This window comes from Homo sapiens, chromosome 17 (genome assembly GCF_000001405.40).
Source record: "Homo sapiens chromosome 17, GRCh38.p14 Primary Assembly".
Lineage (NCBI taxonomy): Eukaryota > Metazoa > Chordata > Mammalia > Primates > Hominidae > Homo > Homo sapiens.
In genome coordinates this window covers 44,170,186-44,186,971 of record NC_000017.11, presented here as the reverse complement: position 1 = coordinate 44,186,971, position 16,786 = coordinate 44,170,186, and the positions used below count along the sequence as shown (strand labels likewise).

At 54.8% G+C, this 16,786-nt stretch overlaps 1 protein-coding gene and 1 long non-coding RNA gene across 3 annotated transcripts, besides 1 other annotated feature; one reads left to right on the top strand and one right to left on the bottom strand.

The window, feature by feature from the left end:
- Positions 142-676: an enhancer, noted in NCBI's record as "H3K27ac hESC enhancer chr17:42263664-42264198 (GRCh37/hg19 assembly coordinates)". NCBI's record gives its function as "activates a minimal SCP1, AML or CMV promoter by ChIP-STARR-seq in primed H9 embryonic stem cells {active_cell/tissue: H9 hESC(primed)}" and the evidence as "EXISTENCE:reporter gene assay evidence [ECO:0000049][PMID:30033119]".
- ASB16-AS1 (ASB16 antisense RNA 1) lies at positions 255-10,999 on the top strand. Of its 2 annotated transcripts, NR_049729.1 has the most exons (4): positions 255-407; positions 3,879-4,042; positions 5,252-5,349; positions 9,156-10,999. It is a non-coding gene; the product is annotated as an ASB16 antisense RNA 1 (long non-coding RNA). The 2 variants fall into 2 exon arrangements; NR_049730.1 differs by lacking the exon at positions 3,879-4,042 and having other exon boundaries at positions 10,330-10,999.
- Positions 7,888-16,268, bottom strand: ASB16 (ankyrin repeat and SOCS box containing 16). Its single transcript, NM_080863.5, has 5 exons — positions 15,882-16,268; positions 14,659-14,926; positions 9,742-10,234; positions 9,250-9,363; positions 7,888-8,767 (listed from the first exon to the last, which is right to left on the bottom strand). The coding sequence occupies exons 1-5, from the start codon at positions 16,180-16,182 to the stop codon at positions 8,582-8,584; spliced, it is 1,362 nt and encodes a 453-aa protein (NP_543139.4). The 5' UTR covers positions 16,183-16,268; the 3' UTR covers positions 7,888-8,581.
- Positions 16,269-16,786: the final 518 nt, after the last annotated feature.

Sequence of the window (16,786 nt, the reverse complement as noted above, 5' to 3'; positions counted from 1 at the left end):
ATACCAGGGACAGGAAGTCCCGCCTCCGCGCCTTGCACTGATGACGCGAAGCTGCGTAAGACGGGCTGACGTAAAAGGTATTCTTTAAATAAAAGGGACAGGTTTCTCAGCGGAAGGAGGGGTGGAGTCATTGTTGGCGGGATTGCGGCCCTCCCAGAGCGGGGCCACGCCTGGTGGGCGGGGCCTTAGGCAATCCAGGGTGAGAGGCGGGGCCAGGGGGGAGGAGTTAGCGCGGAGGTACTTGGGAAAGGGGCGTGGCTTCGCGACTGCGGAAGGTTGCCCGGGCTGGCGCCGCTGGGCAGAGCCGGTGCGACGTTTCCCTTTCCAGCTTTGTTCTTCCGGCCCTGCTGTCTGCCTCCCCGGCTGATTGGATTCGTTACTGCTTTGCAACGCGCACCTAACTCCAGGTTAGCGGGGATTAGTAAGAACTCAGCTCTGGGCCAGTCGGGAAGACAGATAAGGAGACCAGTTAGTCAGCATCCAGTGCTTGAAGAGTGCGGCCCCAGGTAGTGTGGGACCCGGAGAAAGAAGGCGGGAAAGCATTTCAAAGAAGGCACAGATTCGGCGCAGGCTTAGGACACAAAAAGGGGGAAAAGTCCAGCTTTCAAGAACTTATCCAGATTTTTGCAGTTAAAATTTTTTCTTTTTTGAGACGGGAGTTCCGCTCTTGTTGCCCAGGCTGGAGTGCAATGGCGCGATCTCGGCTCACTGCAACCTCCGCCCCCCCGGGTTCAAGCGATTCTTTTGCCTCAGCCTGCCGAGTAGCTGGGATTACAGGCATGCGCCACCACGCCCCGCTAATTTTGTATTTTAGTAGAGACAGGGTTTCTCCATGTTGGTCAGGCTGGTCTCGAACTCCCGACCTCAGGTGATCCGCCCCCGTCTCGGCCTCCCAAAGTGCTGGCATTACAGGCGTGAGCTACCGCGCTCGGCCGCAATTAAAATTTTTTCTAAAAACTTACTGTGGCCGGGGGGAGTGGCTTACTCTTGTAATCCCACCGCTTTGGGAGGCAGAGGTGGGAGGATCGCTTGAGCTCAGGAGTTCGAGGCTGCAGTGAGCTATGATCTGAGCCACTGCATTGCACCCGACAGGGAGGCCTTGTCTCCAAAAAAAAAAAAAAAAGCGCTGGAGTTTGGGGTTTTGGAGAACTACTGATTAAAGGATAAATAATCCAGACAGGGGCAAACATAAGCAAAAAGCTCGGTGGCTTCTACCAACTGAACACTGGCAGAAGTAGCACTTAGATCAAGAAATAGATAATTAGGACTGGCGCGGTGGCTCACGCCTGTAATCCCAACACGTTAGGAGGCTAAGGCAGGCGGATCACAAGGTCAGGAGTTCAAGACCAGCCTGGGTAACATGGTGAAATCCCGTCTCTACTAAAAATACAAAAATTAGCCGGGCGTGGTGGCGCACGCCTGTAATCCTGGCTACTCAGAAGGCTGAGGCAGGAGAATGGCTTGAACCTGGGAGGCGGAGGTTGCAGTGAGCTGAGATGGAGCCACTGCACGCCAGCTGGGGTGACAGAGCGAGACTCTGTCTCAGGAAAAAAAAAAAAAAGAAAGAATTACCCCAGAATCTCCCCCTTCATGTCTTCTTCTAGCCATTAACCTCCAAAGAGTAATCACTATTCTGACGTCTGTCACCATACATTAGTTTTTCCTGTTTTTGTACTTGCTATAAATGGAATCCAACTGTGTATCCTCTTCGGTGTCTAGCTTCTTTTTTGTAAGTCCTTTCATTGTGGTAAAATAAACATAGCTAGGCACAGTGGCATGCACCTGTAGTCCCAGCTACTCTGAAGGCTGACTCAGCAGTGTCACTTGAGCCCAGGAGTTAAAGGCCAGCCTGGGCAACACAGGGAGACCTCTATCTCTAAAGATAAATATATACATATACGTAACATAAAACTTAAAACCATTTTAACTATTTTTAAGTTTGCAATTCAGTGGCATTAAGTACATTCACAAAGCCGGGCACAGTGGCTCATACTTGTAATCCCAGCACTTTGGGAGGCTGAGGCAGGAGGATCCCTTGAGCCAGGAGTTCAAGACCAGCCTGGGCAATATGGTGAGACCCCCATCTCTAAAAAAAAATTAATTAGCTGGGCATGGTGGCGTGTGCCTGTGGTCCCAGCTACTCAGGAGGCTGAAGTGGGATGATTGACCCTAGGAGGTTAAGGCTGCAGTGAGCCATGAGCCAGCTACTCAGGAGGCTGAGGTGGGATGATTGCTTGACCCTAGGGTCAAGATTGCAGAGAGCTGTGATCGCGCCACTATGCTCCAACCTGGGAGACAGAGTGAGACTCCGTCTCAAAATAAAAAAAAATGTAAAGGAAAATAATTGTCTTCAGCTGAGCATGGTGGCTCTAGAGTGTAATTGCAGCACTTGGGGAGGCTAAGGTGGGAGGATCACTTGAGTCCAGGAGTTTGAAACCAGCATGGGCAACATTGCGAGACCCTGTCGCTACAAAAAATTTAAAAATTAGCCAGGCCTGGCGGTGTGTGCCTGTAGTCCCAGCTACTTGGGAGGCTGAGGTGGGAGAATCATTGGAGCCTAGGAGGTCAAGGCTACAGTGAGCTGTGATTGCGTCACTGCACTCCAGCCTGGCATACAGAAAGACCCCGTTTCAATCAATCAATAAAAACCACTCTGGGAGATCTTCCCAAGGCAGTACACATGCTGGTCACTTGGAATCCCTCCCTAGTTCTTTCCTGCCATGGGTAATATGGATTTGTCTAACCACTCCAACATGAGTTGTTGCAAGCAACGCTGAGAGGAATATTCCTGTATGTAGCCTGCCTTTTGTGTAACTGGGAACAGTGTTTAAGGAAGTGGCCAAATTGCCCCCAAAGAGGCGATTTGTCCACCAACAGGATTTGCACACCTGGCCTTGTATCCTGATTTTTTTTTTTTTTTTTTTGGAGACGAGTTTTGCTGTCACCCAGGCTGGAGTGCAGTGGGAGATCTCAGCTCACTGCAACTTCCGCCTCCCAGGTTCAAGTGATTCTCCTGCCTCAACCTACTGAATAGCTGGGAGTATATGTGTGTGCCACCACACCTGGCTAATTTTTGTATTTTTAGTAGGGAAGGGTTTCACCATGTTGGCCAGGCTGGTCTCGAACTCCTGGCCTCAGGTGATCTGCCTGCCTCGGCCTCCGAAAGTGCTGGGATTATAGGCGTGAGCTATCGCGCCTGGCCTACTTTTTGTATTTTTAGTAGAGAAAGGGTTTCACAATGTCAGCCAGGCTGGTCTTGAACTCCTGACCTCAGGCGATCCACCCGCCTCGGCCTCCCCAAGTGCTGGGATTACAGGCGTAAGCCACTGCACCCAGGTATTTTTCTTTTTTAACGGTATCTTTTGTAGTTGTAAATATATCAGAAAAGGCTGAGCTGGCTGTGGTCGGCGTGCTGTAAAGGGGTAGAAAGTTCAGCATTGCCCCTGAGAGTGAGGCTCCCAGCCTCCCTCTCTAGGGAGGAGTTCTTTTTCTTCTGTCAGGCCTTTTGGCTCTGTAAAACTAAAGCACAAATTTTCATCCAGAAAGGGGGTGTTGCATTCTGCATAACAAGGTGAAAAAACTGTCTTTGTGTTGATGAAATGGAATCCCAAAGATATAACTCTCCTGGAGGAGGGAAAGTTGGGCAGCTGCAGCAGGAGGCAGACCCCAGGACTTTGGATCCCTGTCTCCACTGTATAACTCCAACTGGTATTGGGACTGGAGACCCTAGGATCCCTCAGCAAAAAGACTGCTGACTCAGGAGAAGACTGCTGGGAGCTCCTCCCCAGTTCCCTCCTGTGATAGGTACTATAGGTTCTGGGTCTATGAGAGGCTTTGTGTTTCTGTTATTTTTATTCATTTTTTTATTTTTTTTTGAGACGGGGTCTCACTCTGTCGCCCAGGCTGGAGTGCAGTGGCACAATCTCAGCTTGCTGTGACCTCAGCTCTCTGCGACCTCTGCTTGCTGGACTCAAGCGATCCTCCCACCACCTCAGCCTCCTGAGTAGCTGGAACCATCATATGCACCAGCACGCCTGGCTAAGTATTTTGTGTTTTCTTTTTTTTTAATTTCTAGAGACAGGATCTTGTTATGTTGCCCAGGCTGGTCTCAAACTCTAGGACTCAAGTGATCTGCCCCCCTTGGCCTCCCAAAGTGCTGGGATTACAGGCATGAGCCACCGTGCCTGGCCTTTTTTTTTCCCCAGCCTCAGCAACATAGTGAGACCCGTTGTGGTGCATGCCTGTAGTACCACCTACTTGGGAGGAGTATTGCTTGAGTGTGGAAGGTTGAGGCTGCTATGAGCAGTGATCGCGCCACCACACTCCAACCTAGGCAACACAGAGAGCCCCTGTCTCAAAAAAAAATTGTTTTAGGGACAGTGTCTCACTCTTGCCCAGACTGGTCTCAAACTCCTGGGGTCCAGTGATCCTCCTGCCTCAGCCTCCCTTGTAGGTGGGACTACACGGCACCTGGCCCTTGTGTTGTTCTTGTAACAGTTGCTCAATGCAGAAAACTTGGAAACCACAGAACAGCACCAGGGGGTGGGGAATGAACATGGAATGATGGGGACCTCTGTCCCATTTAAGTCAAACAACATCCATACTTTGGTTCCATGGACTAATCATTTATTTGCACTCATAAAAACTGGCTTGCTTTGAAAAGCTTCCTCCAAAAGCTGTATTGTGGTACTTTTGACTCTGGGACAAGAGGAAGAAGTTGGGGAATTCGGGCAGTTGGTGGCTGGGCCCTCAGAGACTGTATGTGGTGACCACTGTTTAAGACACCATTCATCACTTGGGGACGGAGGGAGCACATAGATGGACCCCAGGCTCATGGATGTTCCTCCTTCCGCAGTCATTTACTAAAATACCTGTTCAAGGAATATAGTTCCAGTCTCAGCCTAGTTGAGACAACCACAGGCACTTAAATAAGTACCAAGGAAGCCTCTGCAGAGATAGTGCTATTGGAACTGAGTCCTGAGGGCCAGATCAGCCTTGACCAGGCCAAAAAATGTGGAAGAGTATTCCAAGCGGTAGGAATAACACATGCAAACACCTGAAAGCAAAGAGGAGCAGGTCACATCCAGCAACTGGTGACTTGTTTACTAAGGCTGGAGATGAACCTTGGAAGGAAGAAGGGAAGTCAAGAGGCCAGATAATTTGGCAGAGGCTAGAGGCTCTGTTCTACTGAGTTGTTTTCTCGTTTGTTTTGTTTTGTTTTTTGAGACAGAGTTTTGCTCTTGTCACCCAGGCTGGAATGCAATAGCGTGGTCTTGGCTCACTGCAACCTCCGCCTCCCGGGTTCAAGCAATTCTCCTGCCTCAGCCTCCTAAGTAGCTGGGACTACAGGTATGCGCCACCACGCTTGCTTGGCTTTTTTTTTTTTTTTTTTTTTTTTAACCCTGAGTGGACACAGCACATGTTTCAGAGAGCACAGGGTTGGGGGTAAGGTCACAGATCAACAGGATCCCAAGGCAGAGGAATTTTTCTTAGTGCAGAACAAAATGAAAAGTCTCCCATGTCTACTTCTTTCTACACAGACACGGCAACCATCCGATTTCTCAATCTTTTCCCCACCTTTCCCGCCTTTCTATTCCACAAAGCCGCCATTGTCATCCTGGCCCGTTCTCAATGAGCTGTTGGGCACACCTCCCAGACGGGGTGGTGGCCGGGCAGAGGGGCTCCTCACTTCCCAGTAGGGGCGGCCGGGCAGAGGCGCCCCTCACCTCCCGGACGGGGCGGCTGGCCAGGCAGGGGGGCCGACCCCCCCCCACCTCCCTCCCGGACAGGGCGGCTGGCCGGGCGGGGGGCTGACCCCCCACCTCCCTCCCGGACAGGGCGGCTGGCCGGGCGGGGGGCTGACCCCCCCACCTCCCTCCCGGACAGGGCGGCTGGCCGGGCGGGGGGCTGACCCCCCACCTCCCTCCCGGACAGGGCGGCTGGCCGGGCAGAGGGGCTCCTCACTTCCCAGTAGGGGCGGCTGGGCAGAGGCGCCCCTCACCTCCCAGACGGGGCGGCTGGCCGGGCGGAGGGCTGACCCCCCACACCTCCCTCCCGGACGGGGCGGCTGGCCAGGCGGGGGGCTGACCCCCCTACCTCCCTCCCGGACGGGGCGGCTGGCCGGGTGGGGGGGCTGACCCCCCCATCTCCCTCGCGGACGGGGTGGCTGGCCGGGCTGAGGGGCTCCTCACTTCCCAGTAGGGGCGGCCGGGCAGAGGCGCCCCTCACCTCCCGGACGGGGCGGCTGGCCGGGCGGGGGGCTGACCCCCCCACCTCCCTCCCGGACGGCACGGCTGGCCAGGCGGGGGGCTGACCCCCCCACCTCCCTCCCGGATGGCACGGCTGGCCGGGCGGGGGGGCTGACCCCCCACCTCCCTCCCGGATGGGGCGGCTGGCCGGGCGGGGGGCTGACCCCCCCCCCACCTCCCTCCCGGATGGGGTGGCTGCCCGGCGGAGACGCTCCTCACTTCCCAGATGGGGTGGCTGCCGGGCGGAGAGGCTCCTCACTTCTCAGACGGGGTGGTTGCCAGGCAGAGGGTCTCCTCACTTCTCAGACGGGGCGGCCGTGCAGAGACGCTCCTCACCTCCCAGACGGGGTCTCGGCCGGGCAGAGGCGCTCCTCACATCCCAGATGGGGCGGCGGGGCAGAGGCGCTCCCCACATCTCAGACGATGGGCGGCCGGGCAGAGACGCTCCTCACTTCCTAGATGTGATGGCGGCTGGGAAGAGGCGCTCCTCACTTCCTAGATGGGATGGCGGCCGGGCGGAGACGCTCCTCACTTTCCAGACTGGGCAGCCAGGCAGAGGGGCTCCTCACATCCCAGACGATGGGCGGCCAGGCAGAGACGCTCCTCACTTCCCAGACGGGGTGGCAGCCGGGCAGAGGCTGCAATCTCGGCACTTTGGGAGGCCAAGGCAGGCGGCTGCTCCTTGCCCTCGGGCCCCGCGGGGCCCGTCCGCTCCTCCAGCCGCTGCCTCCCGGGCGGCGCTCGCCGGCGCGGCGGCAAAGACTGAGACAGCTCCGCTGCCCGCTGAACTCCATCCTCCCGGCGGTCGGGCGGCGGCGGCTGCGGTCGGTCGCGGCAGCGGCTCCGCTTCATATCTGCAGCTGGGGCCCGCGGGCGTCAGCGCCGCGACTGTCCCAGTCCGCACTGCCCCGGGCCGCAGCGCAGCCGCGCCAACCACCACCCGCGGCCACCATGGCCAGACGGGCTCCCTAAGCCACCGACCCCAGCCCGCGGTGCCTTCGAGCCTTCTGGGGCCTCCGGCGCCGCGACCTCCTCTGCGCTCCTCACGGAAGACTTTTTTTTTTTTTTTTTTTTAAGACGGAGTCCCGCTCTGTTGCCCAGGCTGGAGTACAGCGGTGCGCGATCTTGGCTCATTGCAACCTCCACCTCCCAGGTTCAAGTGATTCTCCTGCTTCAACCTCCTGAGTAGCTGAGATTACAGGCATCCGCCACTATGCCCGGCTAATTTTTGTATTTTTAGTAGAGACAGGGTTTCACCATGTTGGCCAGGCTGGTCTAGAACTCCTGACCTCGTGATCCGCCCACCTCGGCCTCCCAAAGTGCTGGGATTACAGGCATGAACCACTGCGCCTGGCCTAATTTTTTGTATTTTTAGTAGAGACAGGGTTTTACCATGTTGGTCAGGTTGGTCTCAAACTCCTGACCTCAGGTGATCCTCCCGCCTCAGTCTCCCAAAGTGCTGGGATTACAGGTGTAAGCCACTGCACTCAGCTTGTTTTAAAGAGTTTTGATTTTAGTGTGAGAGGAGCCACTGGAGGGCATGATCAGAGTTTGACTCCCAAAGACCATTCCAGCACCAATTCAGGGCATGGGTCTCAAGATCTCCCTTGGAGTGACAAAGGCAGGGCAGGCAAGCCAGTGCACGCAGAGACAGAGTTTGTCCCTCTTTAGGAGGCTGAACAGGTATAAGGGTGGCAGGAGAGGGAGGTGGTGGGCCACTAGAATCACTGGTTCTTGGCATGGGACCTGGATGGATAGAGGGGCCATCCACTTAAACACAGGAGGAGAAGGGAGGTGAAGGCCGAGTCTGGGAACAGGCCGAGTCTGCAGCCCTTCCTGCTGGAGAGAGGGTCTGAAGCTCAGGTCCGGCTAGAGGTCAGCAGGTGTCTCAAGAAGCCCATGGAGGAGTGAGGTGGACCAGGACAGCACGTGGAGTACAGAAAAGAGGGGCAGGCAACCAGGCGCAGTGGCTCATGCCTGTAATCCCAACACTTTGGGAGGCCAAGGCGGGTGGATCACCTGAGGTCAGTGTGAGACCAGCCTGGCCAACATGGTGAGACCCTGTCTCTACTAAAAATACAAAATCAGCCAGGTGTGGTGACTCATGCCTGTAGTCCCAGCTACTCGGAAGTTTGGGGCACAAGAATCGCTTGAACCTAGGTGGTAGAAGTTGCAGTGAGCCGAGATAGCGCCACTGCACTCCAGCCTGGGCAACAGAGTGAGACTAGGTCTCAAAAAGAAAAGAAAAGAGGGCCAGGAACTGGTCCTCCGCAGTTGGAGGCGGGGACAGGTGGGAGGGGCAGAACACACCATGGGACAGCCTGACATGGGGTTCACTGGATGCACCCCTCCACACGCAGCAGCAGGTAGTCCCTGAGGAGCGGGGGCAGTGGCAGCCGGGTGGCACCCTGCCGGCAGCGGCTTCCCAACCGAGCGCGCACAGCTAGTCGGGCCAGGTGCTGCAGCTGCCTTGGCTGGTTCACCATGCACAGGGCCGAGCTGTAGAAGGCTTCGTGCTCCTAGGCCAGGAGTGAAAGAAGGTCAGATGACCCTTGCCCTACCATCTGGGGGCAACCCAGCGGTGGGGGTCCTGGGATTTTGCAGCATGCACCCACCTGGGTGTTTCATGTGTCTCAAAGGACTCAGATTCAGAACCATAGAGGCCCTGCAGTGATAATGCGGGCTGGGGCTCCACTTCAGGGAAGGGTCTCCACTATGTCTATACCACTCCCACCCCAGAGAGCCTAGCACAGTGCCCACCAAGTTAAGAGATGCCAGATAAATGTCTGTGCTGATGCAAGTGAGGGAGGCAGGAGAGGTGTGTGGAGTTAGGGGTCAGCCTGGGGTACCGGGGGAGGGGGTACCCTGAAACCCAGGGGTGCCACTCTACCCATCCTCTCTACCCAGGGGCCCTCCTGCTGCTCCCTCCATGAGGCTGGTCCTGAAGGAATAGGCCTGTGGCTCGTCCCTCCTCCCCATCTCGGCCCTGAGGCAAACATACCTTCCACAGCTCTGGGAGCACCGCCTCCACCCAGGTCTCACAGGATGGGACACAAGGATAGGCATTAAGCAGGACTTCCAGGGCCCGAGGGAAGTTGGCGCAGTGTTTCAGCATCTAGGGGTCAAAAGAGGGTCTTGGGCACATGCCTCCCCCACCCGAGGGCAGACCCAAGTCTTGCCTCACCCACATGGCCAATCCTAGCCTAATCTGGGGGGCTAAGGTCTGAGTCTCTCTTCCCTTTTTTGTGCCTCTGTCTACCCCACCCTCAAGTATGCTCCAACCTTTTGGCCCCAGTTTTCCTCTGGGGCTCTTCCCTCCCTTGGACTCTCTCTCCCAGAATCCTCTCTCCCCCTCCCAAGCTGGGGACAGCCCCCTGGCCACTGAGGGCAGGCTTTCAGTCTCTTGGACCCTCTGTCTTCCCCAGAAGCGGAGCAGTTCCAGCCGCGGGCTCCCCCACACAGGAGCCTCCTATGTCAGGGCCTCCCAGCGCACCTCAGGGCGCACTGGCTGCGCCCCGTAGTCCAGCAGTGCGGCGAAAAGGACTTCAGGCTCCCAGTTGGGGGAGTCCTGGACGGCCTGCAGCGCACAGTCCATGGGCGTGTGGCCCGCCCCATTGGGGACCTCAGCGCGGGCCCCGTAACGCAGCAGCAGCTCGGCCAGGCCCCCGCAGCCGTTGGCACAAGCGTTGTGCAGCGGCGTGTGGCGCTTGCGCCCGGCCGCCCGGGCATCAGCTCCAGCCTCCAGGAGCCGGCGCGCCGCAGCCTGGTGTCGCCTGCAGCTACCTGGGCCCTCGGCCCCAGCGCACGCCGTGTTCAGCGCAGTCTCGCCCTGGCTGGTGCGCAGGCCCACGTCGGCGCCATGCTCCAGGTACAGAGCCACATGTTGCTCCAGGCCGCGCGCCGCCGCCACGTGCAGGGGCGTCTCCTGGCTCTCGCCTGCTGCCAGGTTCACCGTCGCTCCTGCTTCCAGCAGCAACTTGGCGCACCTGGGGACAAGAGAGCAAGGTCCTGAGGAAAATCCTGAAGGCTTGGGACCCCTTCAGCTTGCTGTGACACTCCCTTGCCTTTCCACCCCTCTCAGCTTGAGGTCCTACCTGGTGTCCTCCATGAGAATCATACAAGCCCCGCTACAGACAACAGAATTGGAAGGTCCTGAGAGCTACCAGAAGCATCTTCAGTTTTCATATGAAAAACTTAAGCCCAGGAGTGATTTGTGCAGCCAAGGACACACAGCAAGTTAGTGGCTGCACCAGAAATAGTACTCACTGCCTCAGACAGTCCCTCCCACAGTCTACTCTGTCTCCACCCCAAGGTCTGGTTCTGAATCATTCAGTTGTCAGTTGTCTCCTTTTTTTTTTTTTTTTTTGGAGACAGGGTCTCTCTCTGTGGCCCAGGCTGAAGTGCAGTGGTGTGATTACAGCTCATGTAGCCTGGACCTCCCAAGCTCAAGCAATCCTCCTGCCTCTGCCTCCCAAGTAGCTGGGACCACAGGTGGGCAGCACCACACCTGGCTAATTTTTTAAATTTTTTTTTATAGAGACAGGGTCTTACCATTTGCCCCAGCTGGTCTCAAACCCCTGGGCTCAAGCAAGCCTCCTGCCTTGGCCTCCCAAAGTGCTGGGATTACAGGTGTGAGCCACCACACCCGGCCTTATCTCCTAACATTTTGATAGCACAAAATTTTGAAAACCCACTTCTGTGTACGTTATGAAGCATAGAAAATTAAACAGTATGCACCAAAAAAAAATAAATACAAGTTATAATATTTTCTTTCTGTCCCCACACTTAAAAGACCACTCTTCTAAACCAGGCCACAATCATTCAAGCAAAGGCAGGCACTTGGGGCCATCCTCCTCCACTTTCCCCTAGGGAAAACAAACAAAACCAAAGGAAAAACAAAAACAAAAACAGGTTTTAAAGAGTGCATGTTTCCCAGTTCCAGGGAAAATTATAGGCCAGAACACTGTTGTGGCAAACATGCATCCTTACATACTGCAGGGTAAACCAAACATGCAACAAACTAAATTAATAATGATGAAACCAAACTAACAGTAACTTATAATTAAAAAGCCAGAACGGCAGCTGCTGGAAACAGGAGCAGATCCACCATCCTCGATGAAACTCTGATAATCAAATACCCTTTCCCAAAATGGCCAAAATCCTTGCTCACATATTCCAGGTAGGTTCTTTGCTCTGTAGCCAAGATGTGAGTAGCAGCCAGTCTTCCATAAGCTACTGAATTATCTCCTTGGTAAATTCTAATTGTGGGGCTAATTTTTGTTTCCAAATACTAATTTTTTTTTTTTTTTTTTTTTTTTTTTTTAGATGGAGTCTCATTCTGTTGCCCAGGCTGGAGTGCAGTGGTGCGATCTCTGCTCACTGCAAGTTCCGCCTCCCGGGTTCCTGCCATTCTCCTGCCTCAGCCTCCCAAGTAGCTGGGACTACAGGCACCCATCACCATGCCCGGCTAATTTTTTTGTATTTTTTTAGTAGAGATGGGGTTTCACCGTGTTAGCCAGGATGGTCTCGATCTCCTGACCTCGTGATCCACCCACCTCGGCCTCCCAAAGTGCTGGGATTACAGGTGTGAGCCACCATGCCCAATCTTTTTTTTTTTTTTTTGAGGCAGAGTCTTGCTCTGTCGCCCAGGCTGGAGTGCAGTAGCTCCATCTTGGCTCACTGCAGTCTCTGCCTCCTGGGTTGAAGCAATTCTTCTGCCTCAGCCTCCTGAGTAGCTGGGACTGCAGGCATGCGCTGCCATGCCTGGCTAATTTTTGTATTTTTAGTAGAGACAGGGTTTCACCATGTTGGCCAGGATGGTCTTGATCTCCTGACCTCGTGATCTGCCTGCCTCAGCCTCCCAAAGTGCTGGGATTACAGGTGTTAGTCACCACGCCCGGCTTCCAAATACTAAATTTAACTAACACTCCAAAGCTCGCTCAGTAGGGTTCCAGTAAGTGGGGATTCTCATCTTACTTAGAAAGATGAAGTCTGTTGGAAGGCACACCACATGCCTGTAAGAACCCAAGAAAGGGCTGGCAAATGTGGACCACTTCTTGGACTTCATCTAGATCTAGTGGGGAGAGGTCCCCAGCTTGTGGGCAGTGGAGAGTCTTCCAGAAGCCCTTGAATCCTTACCTGCCACCCTGTCTGTTGACCTGATTGTGAAAGTGCAAATACCCTCATGCAGGGACTCCAAGAAACTGCCAACCTTAAAAAAAGTGGGAGGGTTGGTGTATTGGTTCATGCCTATAATCCCAACACTTTGGGAGGCTGGGGCAGGAGGATTGCCTGAGCTCAGGAGTCGGAGACCAGCCTGGGCCACATAGAGAGTCTATGTCTCTACTAAAAATAATACTTTTTAAAAAATAGCCAGTTGGGCCGGGCGCGGTGGCTCACGCCTGTAATCCCAGCACTTTGGGAGGCCGAGGCGGGTGGATCACGAGGTCAGGAGATCAAGACCATCCTGGCTAACACAGTGAAACCCCATCTCTACTAAAAATACAGAAAAAAAAAATTAGCCGGGCGTGTTGGCGGGAGCCTGTAGTCCCAGTTACTCGGGAGGCTCAGGCAGGAGAATGGCGGGAACCCGGGAGGCGGAGCTTGCAGTGAGCCGAGATCGGGCCACTACACTCCAGCCTGGGAGACAGAGCAAGACTCCGTCTCAAAAAAAAAAAAAAAAAAAATAGCCAGGTGTGGTAGCACTGGCCTGTGATTCCGGCTACCCTGGAAGCTGAGGCAGGAGGATCACTTGAGCCCAGGAGATCGAGGCTGCAAGTGAGTCATGATTGTGCCACTGCACTCCAGCCTGGGCAACAGAGTGAGACCCTGTCTCCAAAAAAAAAATCTAGCCCTGTGTTTCCTAACATCGGTGTGAGGCACCCCCATACCTCTCTTCCCACTTTTTTTTAAGACAGGGTCCCGCCCTGTTGTCCAGGTTGGAGTACAGTGGCAGCATGATCATAGCTCACTGAAGCCTAGACCTCTTGGGCTCAAATGCTTTTCCTGAGTAGCTGGGACTACAATGCACACCACCATGCCCGGCTAATTTTATTTTTTGTAGAGACAGGGTCTCACTATGTTTCCCAGTCTGGTCTTGAACTTCTGAGCTCAAAAGATCATCCTGCCTCAGCCTCCCGAGTAGCTAGGACTAGAGGCTCATGCCACCATACCCGGCTAGTTTTTATTTTTAGTAGAGACAAAAACCTCACTTACGTTGCCCAAACTATTCTCAAACTCCTGGACTCAAGCAATCCTCCTGCCTCCGCCTCCAAAAGTGTTGGGATTACAGGTGTGAGCCACTGAATCTGGCCCATAGGTCTTTTTTTTTTTGAGATGGAGTCTCAACTGTTGCAGGGGCTAGTGTGTAGTGGCACAATCTCGGTTCACTGCAACCTCTGCATCCCGGGTTCAAGCGATTCTCCTGCCTCAGCCTCCCGAGTAGCTAGGATTACAGGCGCCAGCCACCATGCCCAGCCTGGCTAATTTTTTGTATTTTTAATAGAGACGGGGTTTCACTATGTTGGCCAGGCTGGTCTTGAACTCCTGAACTCGTGATCCACCCGCCTCAGCCTCCCAAAGTGCTGGGATTACAGGCGTGAGCCATGGCGCCCGGCTTTTTTTTTTTTTTTTTTTTTTTTAAGACAGTCTCGCTGGAGTGCAGTGGCAGAATCTCGGCTCACTGCAACCTCTGCCTCCCGGGTTCAAGCGATTCTTGTGCCTCGACCTACTAGTAGCTGGAATTACAGGTGTGAGCCACCACACCTGGCCAGATCTTTCTTAATACCTCAAAACAACTAGGAATTTGGGCTGGGCATGGTGGCTCACGCCTGTAATCCCAGCACTTTGGGAGGCCAAGGTGGGTGGATCACTTGAGGACAGGAGTTCAAGACCAGCCTGGCCAACATGGCAAAACCCCATCTCCACTAGAAATGCAAAACCTAGCCAGGTGTGGTGGCACACACCTGTAATTCCAGCTACTTGGGAGGCTGAGGCATTTGAACCCAGGAGGCAGAGGTTGCAGTGAGCTGAGACCACGCCACTGCACTACAGCCTGGGCAACAGAGCAAGACTTCGTCTCAAAAAACAAAAAAAAACAGCTAGGTTTGGCTACAAAGGATTCACAGGGTATTGGAGACTGCAGTTGGAACAGAGTTTTCCCAAAAAGCAACAGGGCTTCTGCCTCCTGGGCTTAGCAGATGTGACCTTGGACAAGTTACTAAGCCTTTCTGAGCTTCATTTTTCTCATCTGTAGGATGAGGTGTCTCCAGGTTATTGTGAAGATGTGTATATGCGGTGCTTTATGAACCACAAAGCTGCATGTGGTTGTCAGGTTCCCTCTTCTGGCCTTGTGAGCTGGAGACACACACACACATTTCTCCCCAAACTGTCTCAGCCCCCAGGCACCTACTGCAAGGACTCGGGGATCGTGCAGAGGTGCAAAGGAGTCGTGCCCTCCTCAGTCAGCACATTAGCCTTGGCTCCGAAGGTCAGCAGCAGCCGCACACAGTCAAACTGGGCTCGGGCACAGGCCTCATGCAAGGCAGCGCGACCCCCGACACGGGCATCCAGCTCAGCTCCCTGCCGGATCAGGTGTCGAGCACAGTCTGTGTAGCCTCGGGCTGTAGCGATGGCGAGGGGTGCCGTCTGCTTGGTCTTGGGGGTCAGCACCCAGAACCCTAGGGAGAGCAAATAGTTTTGGGAGGTGGTGTATAAGACAGGGCAGGGCAGGGAGTGGGGATGCTGGTTCCAGCTGACAGCTGACACTGGCCTTCCCTCTGCATGGTTTGCTGAGCACAAACACTGCCAGGCTGTACCTGTGGAAGGGGGCTTATTCAAGTCCTGAAGTGGAAGAATAAATTGGAACAGCCTTTTAATACAGCTTATCAATCTGTAACAAAACATAGTATGTGTCATAAAAAAATTAATTGCTGTATAAAACCACAGGGGCCAACTAAGTAGAGTGACTCCCATTAAGGAAATCTCAGCGTCTTTGAATGGCTAATAGTGTCAAAGGCTTGTTCACCTTGGGGCCTGGGGTGGTGGCTCACACCTGTAATCCTAGCACTTTGGGAGGCCAAGGCGGGATGATCACTTGACCTCAGGAGTTCGAGATGAGCCTGGGCAACATAGTGAGACCTTGTCTCTTTTTTTTTTTTTTTTAGGCAGGGTCTCGCTCTGTCCCCCAGGCTGGAATGCAGTGGCGCTATCTTGGCTCACTGCAAGCTCCGCCTCCCGGGTTTAAGTGATTCTTCTGCCTCAGCTGCTGAGTAGCTGGGATTACAGGTGCGCACCACCATGCCCGGCTAATTTTTCTATTTTTAGTAGAGATGGGGTTTTACCATGTTGGTCAGGCTGGTCTCAAACTTCTGACTTCGTGATCCGCCTGCCTTGGCCTCCCAAAGTGCTGGGATTACAGGCGTGAGCCACTGTGCCCGGTCAACTTTTAATTCTTAAAAGACATACAGACTGCTAACCCTGCCTCATCTCTGTTTAGGAGGGAGCTAGGATAGGTGGTGGAAAGGGCTGCTATAGTCTGTGGTCTGCAGGGAAGGAGGGGCCTAGACTCTCCCCCTTCCCCACCCACTCCCCTTCTTTCTCCCTCCTCTTCTGCCCTCTTCTGGTGCCCCCTACCCTGTTCAGCCGACCAGGCCAGCTGGTTGCTCACAGTCTCCACAATCATGTTGGCGGCCTCTTCATCTTGGAACAGGGCTTGGACCTGCTGCAGGTTGCCGGAGAAGAGGGCTTGGTGGACAGCTGGGTCTCGGCAGGAACGGTGAGGCCTAGTGAGTCGGGCCCGGGGACTTGACGGGCACCTGCGGCTCCGGCACTGCTGGGCAGCCGCCCGCCGCCGGTCCTCCCATTCCAGCCACTCCTGCTGCAGGCGGAGAGAGCGCAGCATGGAGGAGGTGAAGGGGAAGGTCTCTCTTGCCATGGATGGGGCCCAGGGGTTTGGGCAGTGGCACCTGGGCAGAGCCAGGTTCCCTCGACCCGACTACCTCCCTTGCTCTGAGGAGCCACCCTGCCCCCGCCACCGTGAGCCAGAGAAAGCAGCAGCTGAGGCTATAAATAGGTCCTTTGCTGCTCTGGTAAACATGGTTTGCTCAGAGTCATGATCCTGGTGCTGAGAAGCTGCTGGCCCAACCCCCAGCCCAGGGTGAGGGCCAGCCCCTGCCCCTGCCGATACCCTTTGGTTGGTCAGCAGGCCCTCAGCTGAGGCCACCCCCGAACCCCAGCATCTGCATCCACCTTCATCTCTAGAGCGAGCATCTTGGGTTGGCAAGGTCCAGGGTGCGCAAAAAGGTCAGTCATGGAGATGGGCAGGGCTGGGAGGAAGACAAGGTGCCTCCAGCCTCTCTGATGTTGGCTGGAGGGCAGGAGCCACCATTGGCCCACGTGGAGGAGAGAGGGCTGACCTCAGCACAGGAGGTAAGGGGAGGTCAAGGCAGAGTTACTGAGAAGGTGAGCAGCTCTTCCCAGCATCTGCAGTAACAGCAATAACTCTGTACATATGCACAGAGTTTCACGGTGTTTAAATC

Excerpts from the sequence above, each read along its gene's own strand:
- ASB16 (NM_080863.5), bottom strand. The coding sequence starts at position 16,182 with ATGGCAAGAGAGACCTTCCCCTTCACCTCCTCCATGCTGCGCTCTCTC. Across the intron at positions 14,927-15,881 it reads GGCCTGGTCGGCTGAACAGG|GGTTCTGGGTGCTGACCCCC; the intron begins GTAGGGGGCACC and ends TGCTCTCCCTAG. Across the intron at positions 8,768-9,249 it reads TGCTCCCAGAGCTGTGGAAG|GAGCACGAAGCCTTCTACAG; the intron begins GTATGTTTGCCT and ends CTCCTGGCCTAG.